Consider the following 20,529-nt stretch of genomic DNA (forward strand, 5'->3'; position numbering starts at 1 on the left):
GTGCTTTCTGAAGGGTGAGGTGGCTATGGCAATTTCTTAAAATAAGACAAAGTAGTTTGTTACATGGGTCAACTCTTCCTTTCATGAAAGGAATGCAAATGCTGTTTGGTAGCATTTTATTCATAGTAGTACCTCTTTCAAAATGGGAGTCATTCCTTTGAAACCCCACTGATGCTTTACCAACTAAGTTTATGGGCTATTCTTTTTTTGTTTTGAGACTGATTCTTGCTCTGACACCCAGGCTGGAGTGCAGTGGTGCGATCTCGGCTCACTGCAACCTCTGCCTCCTGGGTTCAAGCAATTCTCCTGCCTTAGCCTCCCCAGTAGCTGGGATTACAGGCATGCACCACCATGCCCAGATAATTTTTGTATTTTTAGTGAGGACGGGGTTTCACCATGTTGGCCAGACTAGTCTTGAACTCCTGACCTCAAGTGATCCACCCGCCTCGGCCTCCCAATGTGCTGGGATTACAGGCATGAGCCACCATGCCCAGCCAGTGTAGATATTTTGACCTCTTTCTATGAATGGCATTTAGAATGGTGAATTCTTTCCAGAAGGTTTTCAATGTACTTTGCTCAGATCCATCTATGGCAGTCACAGCCTTATGATATGTATTTCTTAAATAATCAAGACGTGAAAGTTCAAAGTATTCCTTTATCCAAGGGTTGCAGAATGAGTGCTATGTTAGTAGATATGAAAATAACATTAATCTTCTTGTACATCTCAATTAGAGCTCTTGGGTGACTGGGTGCATTGTCAATGAGCAATAATATTTTGAAATAAATCTTTTTTCTGAGATATATCTCAACAATGGGCTTAAAATATTCAGTAAGCCCATGCTGTAAACAGATGTGCTGTTATCTGGGCTTTGTTATTCCATTTGCAGAGCACAGACTGAATAGATTTAGAATAATTCTTAAGGACTCTAGGATTTTCAGAATGGTAACAAACATTGGTGCCAACATCAAGTCACCAGCTGTATTAGCCCCTAACAAGAGAAGAAGCCTATCCCATGAAGCTCTGAAACCAGGCATTCACTTCTTCTAGCTATGAAAATCCTAGATGGCATCTTCTTCCAACAGAAGGCTGTTTCATTTACATTGAAAATATGAGGCCAGGTGCAGTGGCTCATGCTTGTAATCCCAGCACTTTGGGAGGCAGAGGCGGAGGACTGCTTGAGCCCAGGAGTTCAAGACCAGCTGGGCAATGTGGCGAAACCCTACCTCTACAACAACAACAACAACAAAAATTAGCTGGGTGTGGTGGCACATGCCTGTAGTCCCTGCTACTTGTGGGGCTGGGAGAATAGCTTGAGCCTGGGAGTTTGAGGCTGCAGTGATCCATGATTGCACCACTGCACTCTAACCTGGGTGACAGAGCGAGACTCTCTCTCAAAAACAAAAAAGAAAAAGAAAATTTGATATTTAGTGTAGTCACCTTCATCAATTATTTTAGCTAGATCTTCTGGATAACTTGCTGCAGCTTCTACATCAGCACTTGCTGCTTCCTCTTGCACTTTTTTTTTCTTTATTTTGAGACGGAGTCTCACAGTGTTGTCTGGGCTAAAGTGCAATGGCGCGATCTCGGCTCACTGCAACCTCTGCCTCCTGGGTTCATGCGATTCTCCTGCCTCAGCCTCCCGAGTAGCTGGGATTATAGGCGCACACCACCACACCTGGCTAATTTTTTGTATTTTTAGTAGAGACAGGGTTTCACTATGTTGGCCAGACTGGTCTTGAACTCCTGACCTCATGATCTGCCCACCTTGGCCTCCCAAAGTGCTGGGATGACAGGCGTGAGCCACCGCGCCCAGCCCCTCTTACACTTTTATGTTTTGGAGATGGCTTCTTTCATTAACCTCATGAGCTCAGCTCTGTTAGCTTCAAACTTTTCTTCTGCAGCTTCCTCACTGCTCTCAGCCTTCATAGAATTGAAGAGAATTAGAGCCTTGCTTTGGATTAGGATTTGACTTAATGGACTGTTGTGGCTACTTTAATCTTCTATCTAGACCATTAAAACTTTGTCTGTATCAGCAATAAAGCTGTTTCACTTTCTTATCATTCATGTGTCCACTGAAGCAGCACTTTGAATTTCCATTATTTTTTTCTTATTTTGAGACAGGATCTTGCTCTATCATACAAGCTGGAGTACAGTAGCACAATCGTAGCTCACTGCAGCCTCAAACTACTGGGCTCAATCCTCCTGCCTCAGCCTCCTGAGAAGTTAGGGACTACATACAGGTGCTCGCCACTGTGCCTGGCTAATTTTTTTTTTTTTTTTTTTTTTTTTTTTTTTTTGTAGAGGTGGAGGTCTTGCTATGTTACCAGGACTGGTCTCAAACTCATGGCCTCAGGTGATCCTCCCATCTTAGCCTCCCAAAGTGTTGCAGTTACAGGTAAGAGCCACCACGCACAGCCCAGCACTTTCAATTTCCTTCAAGAACTTTACCTTTGCATTCACAATGTGACTAAGTGTTTAGCACAAGAGACCTAGCCTTCAGCCAGTCTTGCATTTTGACATGCCTTCCTCACTAAGCTCAATCATTTCTAGCTTTTGATTTAAAGTGAGACATGCGACTCCTCCTTACTCTTGAACACTCAGAGGCCACTGGAGGGTTATTATTGGTGTAATTTGAATATTTTTGTGTCTTAGGAGATGGGGGGGCCGAACAGAGGGAGAGAGACTGGAAAACAGCCAGTTGGTGGAGCACTCAGAACACACGTAACACTTATCAATTAAGTCTGTTGTCTTATATGGGCGCAGTTTGTGGTGCCCTAAAATAATTACAATAGTAACATCAAAGATCACTGATCACAGATCACCATAACAGATATAACAATAATTTACAAAGCTTGAAATATTGCAAGAACTACCAAAGTGTGATATAGAGGCAAGAAGTGAGCACATGCTGTTAAAAAAAAATGGCACCAACAGACTTGCTCAACAGAGTTGCCATAAACTGTCAGTTTGTAAAAAAAAAAGTTATCTGAAAAGTGCAATAAAAGTGCAACAAAATGAGGTGTGCCTTACATACACACCTATGATCAATAATGTATAAATTAGGCACAATAAGAGATTAACAACAATAACTAATAATGGAACATTTATAACAACATGCCGGCATCACTACTCCTGCACTTTGAGGTCATTATTAAGTAAAATAACACAAACACTGCAATAGTTTTGACAGTCAATAACAACAGTTAATCTGATGACTTAGGCCATTACATGGGTGGGCAGCATATACTGTGAGGATCTACAGGACCAAGGGATGATTCACGTCCTGGGCAGGACAGAGAGGGAAGGTGTAGGATCTCATCACGCTACCCAGAATGGCACACAACTTAAATCTTATGAATTATTTATTACTGAAGTTTTCAATTTAATATTTTCAGACCAAGAGTAACTAAAACTGGAAAGTGAAACTGCAGATAAGGGGGGATTACTATAATTTAACCTCACAGTAATTCAGAGTCATAATAATCATGAACATTAATATTGCATACCATTTAATTAAAATGATAGCTTGTAGATTTTTAAGTTGTGGTGACCAGTTTTCACCTACACTAAATAGACCTTTTTATGCTTTCTGCAGCAATTTTATCAGTTAGTTATAGCTTTCCTGCTTATATTTTCATTGTTATCTTCTCAGCTCTCACTGGTAGACCCTGCTACTGTACTTACCTCTATTACATGTGTTGCCTCCTTCTCATCCACTTCAAAACTAGAAAAATATCTATTATATAAAGGTATAAGTCTGAGCCAGGGCGGACTATCCAGAGATAAAATATATAAGCTTTAGGGAGGCTGAGGTGGGCGGATCGCTTGAGGCCAGGAGTTCAAGACCAGCCTGGCTAACATGGTGAAACCCCATCTGTACTAAAAATACAAAAATTGGCTGGGCATGGTGGCACACACCTGTAATCCCAGCACTAGGGAGGCTGAGGCACAAGAATCACTTGAACCCAGAGGTGGAGGTTGTAGTGAGCTGAGATCACGCCACTGCATGCCAGCCTGGGTGACAGAGCAAGACTCTGTCTCGAAAAAAAATATATATATACGTGTGTGTGTGTGTGTGTGTGTGTGTGTGTGTGTGTGTGTATATATATAATAGATATATAAGCTTTAACTTATATATGTAAGTTTAACATATATATAAGCTTTATATATATATGTATAATAAATTATATATATAATATGTATATAAAGCTTATATATATATATAAGCTTTAACTATACCAAGTATTTCCTTTGGGGTCTTAGCTCTATTCCATATAGCTGAACTTGCCATATCTATTAATTTACAGATATATGACATTGGTGCAAAAGGAACTGTGGTTTTGGCCATTACTTTCAAAATAAATTAATAAATGTTAATAAAGGTACAACCAACTTACAATTATTATACTATATTAAATCTCATTTTAATAAAATATTTTTTCATCAACATATTTTTGTACTATTGATACTGCCGACAGTTTTAAATTATATTTTTATAAAACCTTTAACAATATCTTACTAAAATGTAAAATAAAGATTACTAACCAACACCACACTAAACATCATAAATAACACTACATAATTCTTGTACTTAACAATTTTGTTATAGCTGGGTTTATGGGCCCCATATTAACACATCACTTCAGCTTAACTCATTTAAAAAACTTCTAATTCAATTATACATAATGTATAATACTAACTTTAGAGTCTGCATAGCTATGCTTAGGGAATTATAAAGAGATGGCTCTCCATGGCAGGTCATATCCACAGCTTTCTTCAAAGACGTTATATGTTTTCTTGGGTTTCCTAAAATAGAAATAAGATCTTTAAATAAAATCCTATATATTAAAAAAGTTTATGTTTCTCTCAAAATTTACATATCTATGATGTTAAAGAACAGAATCCTTTCAATGTATATTTCTGTTGGAATTTTATCTGCAATATTTTGTAAACACTCTCACTTCATACTGAAAAACAGAATACAAATAATCTCCTTATAGACTAGCATACATATTTTAAAATAATGCTAACCTAGAGTGCATTTTTTTACTCTTAATATTTCCATATTTCATCATTTTTAAGACCAATACATTTTCACATTTAACATCTCTGAAATCAGCATGTGTTTAATAATCACTGGTAGCCAGCAGCACTTGTAACATAGTCTTTGCCTGTTCATATGTGAACCTACAAATAGGTCTTCATATGTTGTTGCTTCAATTGCATTATGTACATTGTCCTCTTCATGGTGAGTTTAACTGCCATTTAAAATGTTTTTAAGGCCAGGCGCGGTGGCTCACGCCTGTAATCCCAGCACTCTGGGAGACCACGGCAGGCAGATAACCTGAGGTCAGGAGTTTAAGACACACCTGGTCAACATGGTGTAAATCCCATCTGTAGTAAAAATGCAAAAATTAGCTGGGTATGGTGGCATACACCTGTAATCCCAGCCACTAGGGAGGCTGAGGCACAAGAATCACTTAAACCCAGAAGGTGGAGGTTGCAGTGAGCTGAGATTGCACCACTGCACTCCAGCCTGGGCAACAACAGCGAAACTCCATCTCAAAAAACAAACAATAAAATGTTTTTAGAAATGTTGTTAATACAAAAGGCTATATTTTTATGTAGAAAGGTGTGGAACACAGCAGTGAGGCATAAATTTATTATAATGAATCAAATATTGATGGAAGAATGCATGCAATTCCGTATTTTTCTTGAGGGAAGAAATCAAGAACTTTACAAGACCTAAGAAACGAATATTCCCACAAACAGACGAAGCTGTGTTATCTTACCAAATAGCATCTGAAAAGATTGTCTATCTTATGCTAAGCAATTCAAATGAAGGGGGGAGAAGCTGCCAAATCCTTTTTTTTCTTTTTAATATAATATTTTTTTATATTATTTATATTTAGATTATATATATATCTGTTGCCAGGCTGGAGTGCAATGGGGCAATTTTGGCTCAATGCAACTTCCACCTCCCAGGCTCAAACCATCCTCCCACCTCAACCTCCCAAGTAGCTGGGACTACAAGTGCCCAGCACCACACTTGGCTAAATTTTTTTGTATATTTTTGGTAGAGACAGGGTTTCACCATGTTGTCCAGGCTAGTCCTGAACTCCTGGATTCAAGCAATCCTCCCGCCTCAGCCTCTCAAAGTGCTGGGAGTACAGGTGTAAGTCACCACGCCTGGCCCCCAAATTTGAGATGTCTGTACATGTCAAATTACCAAGAAGCTAGTATAGCCAACTCATATATCATTTGATACTGTGTCAAAGTTTAACTACTAGGACTTTTCCTTCTTAATGGCTTATAAAAGTATCTTGTAATTGATGGAATCTGAGTTTCAATGAAATATAGTATTCCGTAAACATTTTCCATTTCAGCACTGTCTTCGTATCAATCAATAACCTAAGTATCATTAAATTGATTTTGTCATAAAATATAATCCATCAAAGCATACTATTAAACATTTAATTTTTAATCTGTCACTATTATACATAATGTTACAAAGAGTATCTTTGTAGAGTGATCATTCTCCTTCCATAACATTCCCTAAATATAATTTCAGGAACAATTTTTATGCTTTTCTAAAAAATATTGAACTAATTTGTAAGACTATCAGCACTATAAATAACAGTTTCTCTGTGGTTCCACAAGCAACATATTGCTTTGGAAACTTAATTTTGCTCATTTAAAATATATTAAAAAATAAAATGTTATGTAATTGGGTGGAGTTTTTTTGGATTACTAGTTTCCCTGATTTAATTTCTGGGTTTCTTCTGTGTGAATCATGTCTTCTTTGTCTATTCATCAACTTGGAGCTCCCTTGAGTTTTTACTCATCTGAGTAAGTTTTAAAATATTAACCATTTGTAATATTTAATATTTACTGCAAGTATTTTAGATTCATAAATTTTAGAGATGAAAAGTACCTCGCTAAGCAGTCCAAATCCCTCACTTCATAAGTGAGAAAATTAATCTAAACAAGTGAAATGACTTGCCCAAAGACATATGCCTGCTTAACTGCAGGACCAGCAGCACCCAAACCTAGATCTCCTGGCTCTCTATCCACTTCTCTTCCTACCCTACAAAATTATTTTTAATCTCCCACTGTGTTATGGGTATAGGAAAAAAGCATACTACAATAGTGTCAGTGTGGTTTACAGCAGTGGTCTGATTGGAGGGAAAAAAAGGTGGCTTCAAGAGGCCTGTCAGAATCTCCAGAATATTTTTCATCTTTATACATGACTTCACTAACATCCATAGAAAACTGCTGGGGCCGGGCATGGTGGCTGATGCCTGTAATCCCAACACTTTGGGAGGCTGAGGTGGGTAGATCACCTGAGGTCAGGAGTTCGAGATCAGCCTGGCCAGCATGGTGAAATCCTGTCTCTACTAAAAATAAAATTAGCCAGGTGTGGCAGCGCACACCTGTAATCCCAGCTACTCGGGAGGGGGAGGCAGGAGAATCACTTGAACCCGGGAGGCGGAGGTTGCAGTGAGCCAAGACAGCACCGCCTGGGCGACAGAGTGAGAGACTCCTTCTCAAAAAAAAAAAAAAAAAAGAAGTAATAGAAAACTGCTGGTAACTCGGGGTGGGTAAAGTGAGAGGAAAATATTGACCTTATATTCCTACCTTGGAGGAACCATCCTTCTTCCACTATATAATAATCCTGCTTAGTTCATGTGGTGCTGACCCTACTTCTATCCTGCTCTGGGCATCAGCAGGCAATCGAAGCGTACAAACAAAATACTTCATTTCCTGGCCACTTTGTTCATGGATGGGCAGATCGTAACTCAGGCCAATCAGAGTTCTCCCTAGACGTGTGCTGAAGCTATAGGCTACGGGTACAATGTAGACTGGGACAATTAAGAGACATCTTTTCAACTTCCAGAAAATCTATCAGAGAATGAAGCCAGACAAAGCCAGGACCCCAACATATGCAGCAACTATATATGGAATTGGCCCACCTTTGAACATAGCCCAAAATTTTCCTTCTGCACTTAAGCTAGTGTGACATTCTTTTGGTTACTCACAACTGAGTTTCTTGAATCACTCCAGGCCAATGTACATTTCACTCCTCACTGCATTTAATGAAAAACTACTAATGAAGAAAGTATGTCATTTCCCTTATGTGTGCCGGCAAGGATAAAAGGTTGAAAACCAGATTTAAGGGAGAGTGTATTTCACAGAAAATAAAATAGAATCAGTGATGCAAATTTGTAACAGCATATATACCAAAGCAAATAAAAAATGCCATTACTACGTTTTGAAACTAAAATTCAGTTAGGTATGTCATGGAAGCAGAAAAATTGATTCATTAGCAATAGCTACAGTTTAATTTTTATACTTTTTCCCTTTTAAATTAGATGCTTAACTTTATAAGAATTTAATTTTAAGATTAACTGGATTTTATAAATGATTACAATAACTGTATTTTAATATTTTCAGGATAAGGCCGGATGCGGTGGCTCAAGCCTGTAATCCCAGCACTTTGAGAGGCTGAGGCGGGCTGATCACAAGGTCAAGAGATTGAGACCATACTGGCCAACATGGTGAAACCCCGTATCTACTAAAATACAAAAAATTAGCAGGGCGTGGTGGCGGGCATCTGTAGTTCCAGCTACTCAGGAGGCTGAGGCAGGGAATCGCTTGAACCCGTGAGGCGGACTTTGCAGTGATCCGAAATTGTGCCACTGCACTCTAGCCTGGCGACAGAGCAAGACTCCATCTCCAAAAAAAAAAAAAAAAAAAAGGAAAGAAAAAAAATTTCAGGATAAGCACATATAGATTTTAAATAAAAACATTTATATTCAATGTAGTATTATTTACCACTACGCAGAACTCAATTTAGAATAGTTAACCTTGTATCCTAAGAATATAATGGTGGGGGAGATGTTATTAAATTGTTTCACCTAGAGAAGACAGAGGAACCACCCTTCACGTTACTTATTAAGCAGCCATATAAACAGGGCTACGAGGTTGGGTAAATAAAGCAAAGTCCTTGAGTCATGTAAAGGTAATTTTATGCATACCTGAAAGTTCAGTCAATTTTTCAGCTCTTTTACTCTTAGTTACAATTATTCCAATCTTGAAATAAAAACAAAAATTATTATTAATATAACAAGTTATTTCCTCCCATTAAGAATATATATAACTATTCCTGTAGATGATATTGGAGCAGAAAAAAAAATAATTTATATAGCTAAAATAAACTAGTAATTACAAAAGAAAGAAGCAACAGGTGAGAAACTTTTTCTCATGCTGTTTTTGGCAAATAAATTTAGCTATGAGTTCACATTACGTTTAACTTTTAGAGTTATTACGCTTTTCATTTTTAAGTATACCAGAAACTGGTTAAACAATTTGGGTAATTCACAAAATACATGTCCAATTTTTAAAAATAAATTACATTTGGAAGCAAAATAGGAATCTAATTCTGAATTCTATCACTTAGATACGTACCTGACTAATAGGATTTTGATCAAAATATTCCTCTACAAAGTATTCCAACAACTGTTTAAACAAAAAAAGACATACTAGATAAAGGCAAAATAACAATCATAAAGAACACGTCCAACTGATGTTTGTGAAACCTGTTAATCAAGCATCACTTCTCATGACTTTTAAACTTACAGATTTTCAAAAACTGTTAAGTAATAAAAATATTAAACAGTAAAAACGTTAATTTGAAATGGTGGGTGATGAGATAGGTTTGAGCTAGGTTTTAAAAGATGGAACCATTTGGATGTGTCAGAAGAAATTTCAATGAGGAAAAGATCCAATGAAGAGAGATGGGAGAACGAGCAGAATTGAGAATAGGTTTTGATAAATTAGGAATACGAACATATTTGTAATCTGAGGAGACAGAGTTAAGTAAGGCAAAGGAGAATGAAGATTCAAGAAAGAAAAGGGATAACTGATAAACCAAGATCCTGATGTGGGGTGGGAGGATAGAAATTAAAAACACAAATAATTAGCTATGTTGGTTTAAAATTTCCCTAAATAACCTGGCAGTACTTCTACTTAGCTATCATTAGCATTAACTAAAAATACAAGGCAAAAAATAAAAAATATTGCATTCTTTAAAAATATCCTTTAGAATCCAGTGTTCTTCCCCACTTTTTTAGTAAAAGTTTAAGTGATTTTGGTACAAATTTAAATGATTTAGTATAAACTTAAATTTTACCTTTAAAGTACACGTCAGTCTATTAGGCTTTAAATCTTGGTCTTCCATTGTTCTTGATCCATCTACTACCACATAAAGGTGGCGCATCTATCGGAAAAAAGAAAGGGCCAATTTCAAGTACTTGTTTTGTTTTGTAGAAACTGGGTCTCGTTCTGTTGCCCAGGTTGGTCTCAAACTCCTGGGCTCAAGCAATCCTCCTGCCTTGGCCTCCCAAAGTGCTGGGATTATAGGCATGAGCCACTGTGCCCAGCCTCAAGTGCCATTTTGACTAGTAAAAATGGCATTTAATAATTACATATTCTATGCACGTATTTTTAACATATTCTTTTAAAAACTTTGTTGTTTTGCTATTGTTTTTTCTAGCAAGACAGAATGTTTCTCTAACCTAAACTAGTTCTGTACTAGTAAAAGAAAAAATAATGACATACCATTCCAAGTCGAACTTGTCCATGGTGCTCAAATACTCTGTTAAAATTATACAAACATTTTAATGTAATTCCATATACTATCCCCCCCCACAAAAAAAATACAACTTTCCAATTGACCTCCTTTGTTTTTCTTTTTTTCTAATTCTGAGTAAGAATGTCATAACGTGCATTTTTAGTGGAGTAAATAATTAACTTATGGAATACAATACACACAATTATAGGTATTGTAGACAGTCTCTAAAGACCATTTCCTGCTGGGGCAAGGGTAGGTGGCTAGTTCTTTCCCCATAGTCAGAAGGCAATAGGTCAGTTACCCTGAAACACAGCTAAAATGAAGTACTGAGGAGTATTTATAGATAGAAAGGCTTAAAATGAATATATTTTACCTTTTTAAGATACATAGGAAGGTTACATACCTTTTTCTCTTTGCCTTGAATAGAATGTCTTCTATTGTAGCTTTAAGTGATCCAGATTCATCTTCTTTAAGAATCTCCCTATAAGTCATAATTATTTGTTTGAAAAGACAAGCTAAAATGATTACTAGCCCAAATGAAATGAAAATATATGTCCACACAAAGATTTGCATGTAAGTGTTCATGGCTGCATTTTCCTAACAGTCAAAAACTGTAAAGAACCTAAATATCCACAGACTAGTGAATGGATAAACAATAATGTGGCATAACCATAGATGGGAATACTATTCAGCAATAAAAAAGGAATGAAGTATTAATACACACTGCATCATGGATGAGTCTTAAAAATAAGTGAAAGCCAGCCACAACAGACCAACTATTATAGTCATGCATCGCTTACTGACAGGGATACATTCTGAGAAATGCATTGTTAGGCAATTTCATTATTGTGTGAATATCACAGGGTATACTTACACAAACCTAGATGGTATAGCCTATCCCACGCCTAGGTTACAAACCTGTACAGCACGTTACTATACTGAATATCTTAAGACAACTGTAACACAATGGTCAGTATTTGTATATCTAAACATACATAGAAAAGGTAGAGTAAAAATACAGTATTATAATATTATGGGACCATTGTCATATATGCAGTCTGTCTTTGACCAAAACATCATTATGTGGCACATGATTGTATATGATCACATTTTTGTGAAATGTCCAGAAAAGGTTAAAATTTGGAGACAAAAAGTAGACTAATGATTGCCCACAGGTGGAATTAAATTAAGATTTAAATTAATTGTAAATGAATGTGAAGGATCTTACTGGAGTGGTTACAATATTCTAAAACTGGTTTATGATAATGGCTGCACAGCTCAGTAAATTATTAATAAAACATCACTGAATTGTACATTGGAAATGGGTGAATTTTAACATATGTAAAATATACTTTAATAAAGTTGTAAAGAAAAAAAAAGACATTGTCTAAAAGAAAAGACAGGGCAATAAAGCTCTCCTTACCATGTTCTTTCATAGCCTCCTTCCCATCGCTTAGTTCTTTCAGGTTCTTCATCCATTTTTTTCAAAACTGTATTTTATTATTCAATAATCTGTAAAAACCATTAGAATGTAAGTTATCTAAAGATGTTTGTTACAAAATTCATCCAATTAAATTTGAAAATTAGACACATATATGAAGTAAAAAAAAATGGAATGCCAGGTCATCTTATTCTTTGTATTTTACTCAATAATTGTCTTAAAAATCTTCATAGAACTCCATTTCTCATTTCCAAGAAATAATATGAACTTATACACAAACTTGGTACCAATAAAAATAAGCGTCTTTTTACGATTTGTAAAAGAACAAAAATGCTTTATAGATGTGTCACATGACAAACTGTAGACTTGTGAGGAGTCAGTATGGGCGTAGTTGAACTATTATAGCTGAGTGACATGTGATTCATTGTACTATCTCTCTGTGTATGTCTCAGTTTTCTCATAATCAAAAGTTTTTAAATCACATTTATTATTTATAAATGGGTAAATGCTATAGCTCATAATTCAAAAAAAAAGGACACAAAATTAAACATAGTTCTTTGAGACATCTCCAAACTGCTTTCCATAGTGGCTGAACTAATTTACATTCCTACCAACAGTGGATAAGCATTCCCTTTTCTTCACAACCTTGCCAACATCTGTTATTTTTTGACTTTTTAATAATATCCATTCTAACTGGTGGTGAGATGGGTTTGTGGTTTTGATTTACATTGTGGTTTTGGTTTGCATTTCTCTAATGATCAGTGATGTTGAACATTTTTTCATATATTTATTGGACACATGTATGTCGATCCAACAATCCCAATACTGGGTATAAACCCAAAGGAAAATAAAACCATTCTACCAAAAGTACAAGAGCACTCATATTAATCACAGCACTATCCAAAATAGCAAAGACATCAAATCAACTTAGATGCTCATAAATGGTGGACTGGATAAAGAAAATGTGGTACGTAATATATCATGGAATACTAGCAGCCAAAAAAACAACGAAAAAAAAACACAATGAAATCCTGTCTTTTGCAGCAACATGGATACAGCTGGAGGCCATTATCCTCATTGAATTAACACGAACAGAGGCCCAACGCAATGGCTCACGCCTGTAATCCTAGCACTTGGGAGGCCAAGGCAAGTGGATCACCTGAGGTCAGGAGTTTGAAACCAGCCTGGCCAACATGGTGAAACCCTGTCTCTACTAAAAATAGAAAAAAATTAGCCAGATGTGGTGGCGAGCACCTGTAATCCCATCTACTCAGGAGGCTGAGGCAGGAGAATTGCTTGAACCCGGAAGGCAGAGAGGTTGCAGTGAGCCGAGATCGTGCCACTGCACTCTGGCCTAAAAAAAAACAGCAACAGAAAACCAAAGACGGCATGTTCTCATTTACGAGTGGAAACTAAACACTGAGTACACGTGGACATAACGATGAGAACAACAGACATTGGAGACTATTAGACAGGGAAGGATGGGAGAGAGTGAGGGTTGAAAAACTGCCTATCAGGTACTATGTTTACTACCAGGGTGACGGGATCATTTGTATACCAAACCTCAACAACAAGCAATTTATCCATGTAACCAACATGCACACGTACTCCGTGAAAATAAAAGTTGAAAACAAAACAAAACAAACAAACACAGGCCAGGGCCAGGTGCAGCGGCTCCATCCCTGTAATCCCTGCACTTTTGAGAGGACAAGGTGCGGATCACCTGAGGTCAGGAGTTCGAGACCAGTCAGGCCAACATGGCAACACCCGTCTCTACTAAAAATACATAAATTAGTTGGGCATGGTGGCAGGTGCCTGTAATCCCAGCTACTAGGGAGGCTGAGGCAGGAGAATTCCTTGAACCTGGAGGGCAGAAGCTGCAATGAGCCAAGGTCACGCCACTTCACTCCAGCCTGGGTGACAGAGCAAGACTCCGTCTCAAAAAAAAAAAAAAAAAAAAACCAGGCCAGGTATGATGGCTGACATCTGTAATTCTAGCACTTTGGGAGACTAAGGCAGGTGATCACTTGAGGTCAGGAGTTTGAAAATTAGCTAGGAGGTTGGTGGGAGCGGGCCCCTGTAATCCCAGCTACTGGGGAGGCTGAGACAAGAGGACTGCTTGAACCCAGGAGGCACGGAGGCTGCAGTGAGCCGAGATCAGGTCACTGCACTCCAGCCTGGGCAACAGAATGAGACCCTGCCTCAAAAAAGAAAGAAAAGAAAGGAAAGAAAGAGAGAGAGAGAAACGGGCACGGTGGCTCATCCTGTAATCCCAGCACTTTGGGAGGCCGAGGCCAGCAGATCATTTCAGGTCAGGAGTTCAAGACCAGGCTGGCCAACATAGTGAAATGCCGTCTCCACTAGAAATACAAAAATCAGCAGGGCCTAGTGGTGCACACCTGTAATCCCAGCTACTCGGGAGGCTGAGGCAGGAGAATCACTTGAACCTGGCAGGTAGACACTGGAGCGAGCCAAGGTTGTGCCACTGCACTCCAGCCTGGGTGAGAGAGCGAGACTCTGTCATTCATTCATTCATGCACAAATAAATGTCCTCATCACACCTCCATCCTCCCCAATGCAATCTCCCTCCCAACTCCACCACCTCGTGGCTCACTGCAACCTCCACCTCCCGGGTTCAAGTGATTCTCCTGTCTCAGCCTCCCAAGGAGCTGGGATTGCAGGCGCGTGCCACCATGCCCAGCTAATTTTTGTATTTTTAGTACAGTCAGGGTTTTGCCATGTTTTATATTTTTGTAGAGCCAGGGTTTCACCTGACTTGCCAGGCTGATCTCAAACTCCTGACCTCAAGTGATCTGCCTGTAAACAGAATATTTTTGTTTCTTTTTTTGTTTTAAGACGGAGTTTCACTCACCACCCAGGCTGGAGTGCAATGGCGCGATCTCGGCTCACTGCAACCTCCGCCTCCGAGTTCAAGTGATCCTCCTGCCTCAGCCTCCCGAGTAGCTGGGATTACAAGAGCCCGCCACCACACCTGGCTAACTTTTGTGTTTTTAGTAGAAATGGGGTTTTGCCATGGTGGCCAGGCTGGTCTCGAACTCCTGACCTCAGGTGACCCACTCACCTCGGCCTCCCAAAGTGCTGGGATTACAGGCGTGAGTCACCACACCCAGCCTCAACTGAACATTTTGCTCCTCCCTGTTTTCTGTTACGTATTGTGAACTTTAAAAATGAAAAACTCGCATAACGTTCTCAACGTTTTTAAACTCAAATTCTTGGCAGGGCACACAGTGGCTCAAACCTGTAATCCCAGCACTTTGAGAGGCCAAGGCAAAAGGATTGCTTGAGTTCAGGCGCTCAGATCAGCCTGGGCAATAACCTTGTCTCTACAAAACATCAAAAAATTAGCTGGGCGAGGTGGCGAGTACTTGAGTCCCAGCTACTTGGGAAGCAAAAGTGGGAGGATGACTTGAGCCCAGGAGAGTCGAGGCTACTATGTTCACTACTGCACTACAGACTGGGTGACAGAGTGAGACCCTATCTCAAAATAAATAAAATAATTACAAATATATAATAAATATTATAAATATAAAAGTAAATAGCAACTGAGAGACTTTTGGCTGACCATATCAAAGGAATTCTTTTTTTTCTTTTTTTTTTGAGACAAGAGTCTTGCTCTGTCGCCCAAGCTTGGAGTGCAGTGACGCAATCTCGGCTCACTGCAACCTCCGCCTCCAGGGTTCAAGCGATTCTACTGTCTCTTCTGTCTCCCGAATAGCTGAGATTAAGGCACACGCCACCACAGCTAACCTTTTTATTTTTAGTAGAGACGGGGTTTCACCAGCCTGTTGGCCAGGCCTGGTCTCGAATTCCTGACCACAACTGGTCCGCCCACCTCGGTCCTCCAAAGTGTTGGGATTACAGGCATGAGTCACCACGCCCGGCTAAAAGGACTTCTTAATTAGAGCTGCCTGCAACGGGAAATCCGACTGGACAGGAGGTATTAAGGTCCCTAAAACTGCAGACGTTCAATGGGAAGTCTGATTGTAAACATGCATGCTGTTTAAAGGATTCATGCATCCTGAAGATGGACTTTGTAAAGATCTCCAATGGCCTGTCACTTCCCGTCAGTCCATTTTCTTCTTAAAAATATCAGCGAGGCCAGGTGGGTGGCTCACACCTGTAATCCCAGCACTGTGGGAGGCCGAGGCGGGAGGATCACGGGGTCAAGAAATCAAGACCATCCTAGCCAACATGGTGAAACCCCGTCTCTACTGAAAATACAAAAATTAGCTGGGCGTGGTGGCACGCGCCTGTAGTTCCAGCTACTCGGGAGGCTGAGGAAGGAGAATCGCTTGAACCCGGGAGGTGGAGGTTGCAGTGAGCCGAGATCGCGCCGCTGCGCTCCAGCCTGGCGACAGGGCGAGACTCCGTCTCGAAGAAAAAAAAAAATTTTTAAGTGATCTGTTTCCTGGAATCCAACCCCAAACAATCCACGTTCCTCAGCATAAGCCTACTGGTGTGATTCCCGTTACATGAGCTCGGAATGCTATCTGCCAACAAATGAGAGCACCAAACATCCCAATTTAAGAAGCTTTTCTTCACACCTTACCAAGCTATGTGAAACTGGCAAGGGTGATTACTGTCCTTGTTTTTCAGGTATGGGATTCAGGCTCAGAGGTTGGTCACTTTCTCAAGCGGGTCACAAACTCGAACCCTGAACCATCATTTCTAAAAGTCGCGCTTTTACTTAGGGAGAGACGGCCTGCAGCTTCCCTCCCTACTCTGCGGCTCCCCAGACGAAAGTTACCTTCCTCTGCCTTCACAAGCTCCTTCACATCCTCCTTCCCTATGAGCCCAGGCAGGGCAATTCAACCTCCGTTCCCCGCCACGAAAACGCTCCCAGCCGCCTAGCTAGCCAGACGGCCTGCCCCACCTCTGCGCCTCACAGACTTCCACACGCGGACTCACCGGCGCCGCTAGAAGGACTCTCAGCCGGAAACTCCGCCCGACACTCCTCTCCGCCGCTTTAGGGGCGCCCCGGAAGTCATTCCGCCGCGCCCTGCGGCCACGCCGAAACGTTCCGGATGCTGCAGAGTGCAGCTGCCGGAGCGGGGCGCTCAGGTGCAGGGCATGGCCTCCGCTGAGTTGGGGCGCGGAAAGGGACGGTGTTCCAGCTGGAATTCACAGAGAACCGGAAAGAGTGATCGCCATTCGCTCTCGGAAGGTCGAAGGCTCTGCAGCCATCGACCTGGGTTCTGAGGAGCTCGATCTGGTTTTTCTACTTCTAAAAGGTTGGGATGAAGGACCCTGGCCACAGAAGTAAAGCCAGAATTATCCTTGCTTCTTGCTGTGTATTTCAGGACTCCTCCATTGCTCTTGCTGTTCATTCAACAAACATTGAGCATCTACTTTGAGCCTGATGCATGTCTAAGCACTGAAGAAATAACAATGAAAAACTGTCAAAAATCCTTGCTCTCGTGGAGTTTTCCTTCTCCAAGGGGAGTCAGTATGAAGAAAAACATATACTATATGAAATGGTGATAATGCTGTGGAGAAAAACTAAGCACTGAAGGGGAAAAGTTTGCAGTTTAAAATAGGGTGGCCAGGCCGGGTGCGATGGTTCACACCTGTAATCCCAGGCATGGTGATTTGGGAGGCCGAGCGGGGGTGGATCATCGGAGGGCAGGAGTTCGAGACCAGCCTGGCCAACATAGTGAATTCCGTCTCTACTAAAAATACAAAAACATTAGCCGGGCGTGCTGGCAGGCGCCTGTAATCCCAGCTACTCGGGAGGCTGAGGCAGGAGAATCGCTTGAATCCAGGAGGCACAGGTTGCAGTGAGCCAACCTTGCACTCCAGCCTGGGTGACAGAGACTTCATCTCAAAAAATAAAATAGGGTGGCCAGAGGAGTCCTCGCTGGGAAGACAGTTAAGCCATGACCTGAATGAGGAAGGGTGTTAACCCTACTGATACCTAGGGGAAAAGCTCTTCAGACAAAGAGAGCTGCAAGTGCAAAGGCCCTGAGGTAGAAGTGCATTGGGGTCTTTGACGACTGCAGGAGTGAGCAGGGGATGAGTGGTGGCAGCTGCAATCAGAAGGGTAAGGTGGGGAGGAGAGGCTGTGAGCACTGTTAAGAACTTTGGGGGAATTGTGATGGCTTGGACCAGCAGCTGGTGAGAAGTGACTGAATTCTAAATCTTACCAATACACTGGATGTGTGTTATGAGAAAAGAATCAAGGATACCTCCATAGTCTTTAGCTGAGCAACTGAAAGGTTGGGGTTGCAATTATTAAAATGTTGGCGGGGTGGGTAAGATCAATTCAGTTTTGGACAAGTTGTCTGACTGCCAATTAACACAAGTGGAATTACTGGCATTTCCCATACTTGAGAAATGGAGAGGCAGTGCACCCCCAGATGAGAAAAGGGTTAGGAATAACACAAAGGAACTGCAGAAGCTAGGGCCTCTTTCCTTCCCCATCAGCATACTCATCCCCTCCATTGCCTTTATTTTATTGTTAAAAATTTTTCCCATCTCTGTTGTCTCCCTCAAAAATATAAACAGAAGGTATCTTGCATAGCAGTGGAAAGAACAGCCCTGGATTTAAAATCAGGCTCTGACACACTGGCTGGGTGACCTCAAGCAAGTCACAACCCAAGTCTATGAACTAATGTGTAAAATGGGGTTGTCTCCACCAACCCTGCAGGGCTTAGTGGGAACTCCATAATCAGTCTCATTTCCTCCCAGAAGACAGGATTTTAAAAGGGAGAGGAGGGGAAATTAGTATCGCAGTGCCAGGAAGCTTCCATGCTTGCCTCCCTCCCACCTTTGACCTCATTAGAGGACTCACACACAAATTCCACACTTTTCCTTTTGTGCCCTTCCTTCCTATCCACACTTTTGCTTCCTTCCATCTTAATTGACCATCCTATTTGCAAGACGGGATGCATTCCTCTAGGACAAACAGCCTAGAGGAATCCCAAGCCCCAAGTTTCTTGCATATGTTTGTTATCCATCAGCCTGGGAAGGCTTTAAGGAAAACCAGGAAAAAGATAGAGGACTCCCCAATAAATATAAAGCATATTTGCGAAGAGAGGAGACTGAAACAGTTTTCCCAACTGTAATATTTGCTCTGTATAGATTTTAGACATGGATGTTAAGATTCAACTAGGAATGGTACTACAGCAAAACAAAATATGCATAAATCCATAATCTCTTGGCATGATTATGACTGACATATTCTAATCATTTACAAAGTGGTAGAATAAATTATCTAACCTACTCAGATGTTTTTTCAACTTGTAAAACTAAAAGACAACTATAAAGAATGGATAATCTGTTCTTTGCCCATGAGTGGCCAGACACAATCAACAGGGTTAGGACATTCACAATCAGCTCAGCCAGTGGAATCAGATATAAAAAGCATGCAACTTGAAAGACTGGGAGAAGTGAACCTGTCTATTCCAATAGACAGGCTCCCTTACAGGGAAACTAAATCATTCCAGAAAGCCTCATCTAAAACCTCTGTAATTGACAACAGTATCTAACAATCGTGATCTTGATAAGTAAACTATTTGCTGTAACCTAAAGAAGCATTTGTTTATCATGTACAAATATTTAGAATGCCAATCCTGCATTCTCTGCCTAGAATTCAAAAGAATTTACATTCTAAGGCTGCACCCAGCACAGATCAATCATATGGGATTGGATGACACATGCACTTTTAAAAAACACAATTTGCTTTTAGAAAACTTGTTAAAGTTTCACCTTCTGGCTTTGGAAGATGGGGGTAGCTAGGCATATTTACTTTTAGACAAGGACTGAGTCACACATTAACTACCTTCTTAACTATGAGATTATTACAAATATATTTTTACAAATACAAAAAACTGAAGTACAGAGAGGCTAAGTTAATTTCTCCAAGGTCCCACAGCAAGTAACTGCAGAAGGGCAAAGCAAAAATAGGACAACACATGTAGGCAATACCAAGCAGTTCTTGTGGCAGCAACTGGAAACCTTTTGGAGACACCATTCTGCATTTCGTTGTAGTCATACACAAAACCCTAGTTATGTATCCATGCTTCTTTCTCATAATGCCAAAGTGGCACTATTCTAATTTACTAACAAGGTTTTCTAAAAACTACCCAAATTATTGTGGTGTTTTTGCTCACTTCTTCCCATTAGAATAAATGTAGACAATAAGAAACGCATGAGGGATGACATAGTCCTCCATCAAATCTGTCCTTTCACACAAGAGATGGCATGGTGTAGTGTAGCAGAATCATGAGCTGCCAGGAAATTATGAATTCTGATTCCTCCAGCTGAGTCTTTGAAAAAGTCCAGATGAGAAACACTTCCATCCTGATGCTGAAGCAAGGAGAATGTCCTTGTGTGAGGAATTCTCACAACACCAACTGAAGCTAAGGTCCCCGGAGCCATGATAAAAGCACTTTTCTGCCCTGATTCTTCTTTACACACATGTACCCATTCAGG

The 20,529-nt window shown here is 40.3% G+C and overlaps 1 protein-coding gene across 24 annotated transcripts in view, besides 1 other annotated feature; it reads right to left on the bottom strand.

Moving 5' to 3' along the window:
• GTF2H2 (general transcription factor IIH subunit 2) overlaps positions 1–17,026 on the bottom strand; it is a 32,330-nt gene extending 15,304 nt beyond the window's left edge. For 5 of the 24 annotated variants that reach the window (NM_001395393.1, XM_047417131.1, NM_001395387.1 and 2 more), the window contains exons 1-8: positions 17,005–17,026; positions 12,058–12,146; positions 11,038–11,115; positions 10,622–10,658; positions 10,194–10,280; positions 9,470–9,520; positions 9,040–9,094; positions 4,702–4,807 (exon numbers count right to left, since the gene is read on the bottom strand). In NM_001395393.1, coding sequence (NP_001382322.1) covers positions 4,702–4,807; positions 9,040–9,094; positions 9,470–9,520; positions 10,194–10,280; positions 10,622–10,658; positions 11,038–11,115; positions 12,058–12,113 — 470 coding nt within the window. In that variant the 5' untranslated portion in view covers positions 12,114–12,146; positions 17,005–17,026. Of the gene's footprint in view, positions 1–4,701; positions 4,808–9,039; positions 9,095–9,469; positions 9,521–10,193; positions 10,281–10,621; positions 10,659–11,037; positions 11,117–12,057; positions 12,147–14,474; positions 14,573–16,645 lie in introns of those variants that run through there. The other 19 variants (NM_001395390.1, NM_001395394.1, NM_001515.4 and 16 more) reach the window with 13 other exon arrangements.
• Positions 15,854–16,453: an enhancer, noted in NCBI's record as "H3K27ac hESC enhancer chr5:70362331-70362930 (GRCh37/hg19 assembly coordinates)". NCBI's record gives its function as "activates a minimal SCP1, AML or CMV promoter by ChIP-STARR-seq in primed H9 embryonic stem cells {active_cell/tissue: H9 hESC(primed)}" and the evidence as "EXISTENCE:reporter gene assay evidence [ECO:0000049][PMID:30033119]".
• Positions 17,027–20,529: the final 3,503 nt, after the last annotated feature.

Source organism: Homo sapiens, chromosome 5, assembly GCF_000001405.40.
Source record: "Homo sapiens chromosome 5, GRCh38.p14 Primary Assembly".
NCBI lineage: Eukaryota > Metazoa > Chordata > Mammalia > Primates > Hominidae > Homo > Homo sapiens.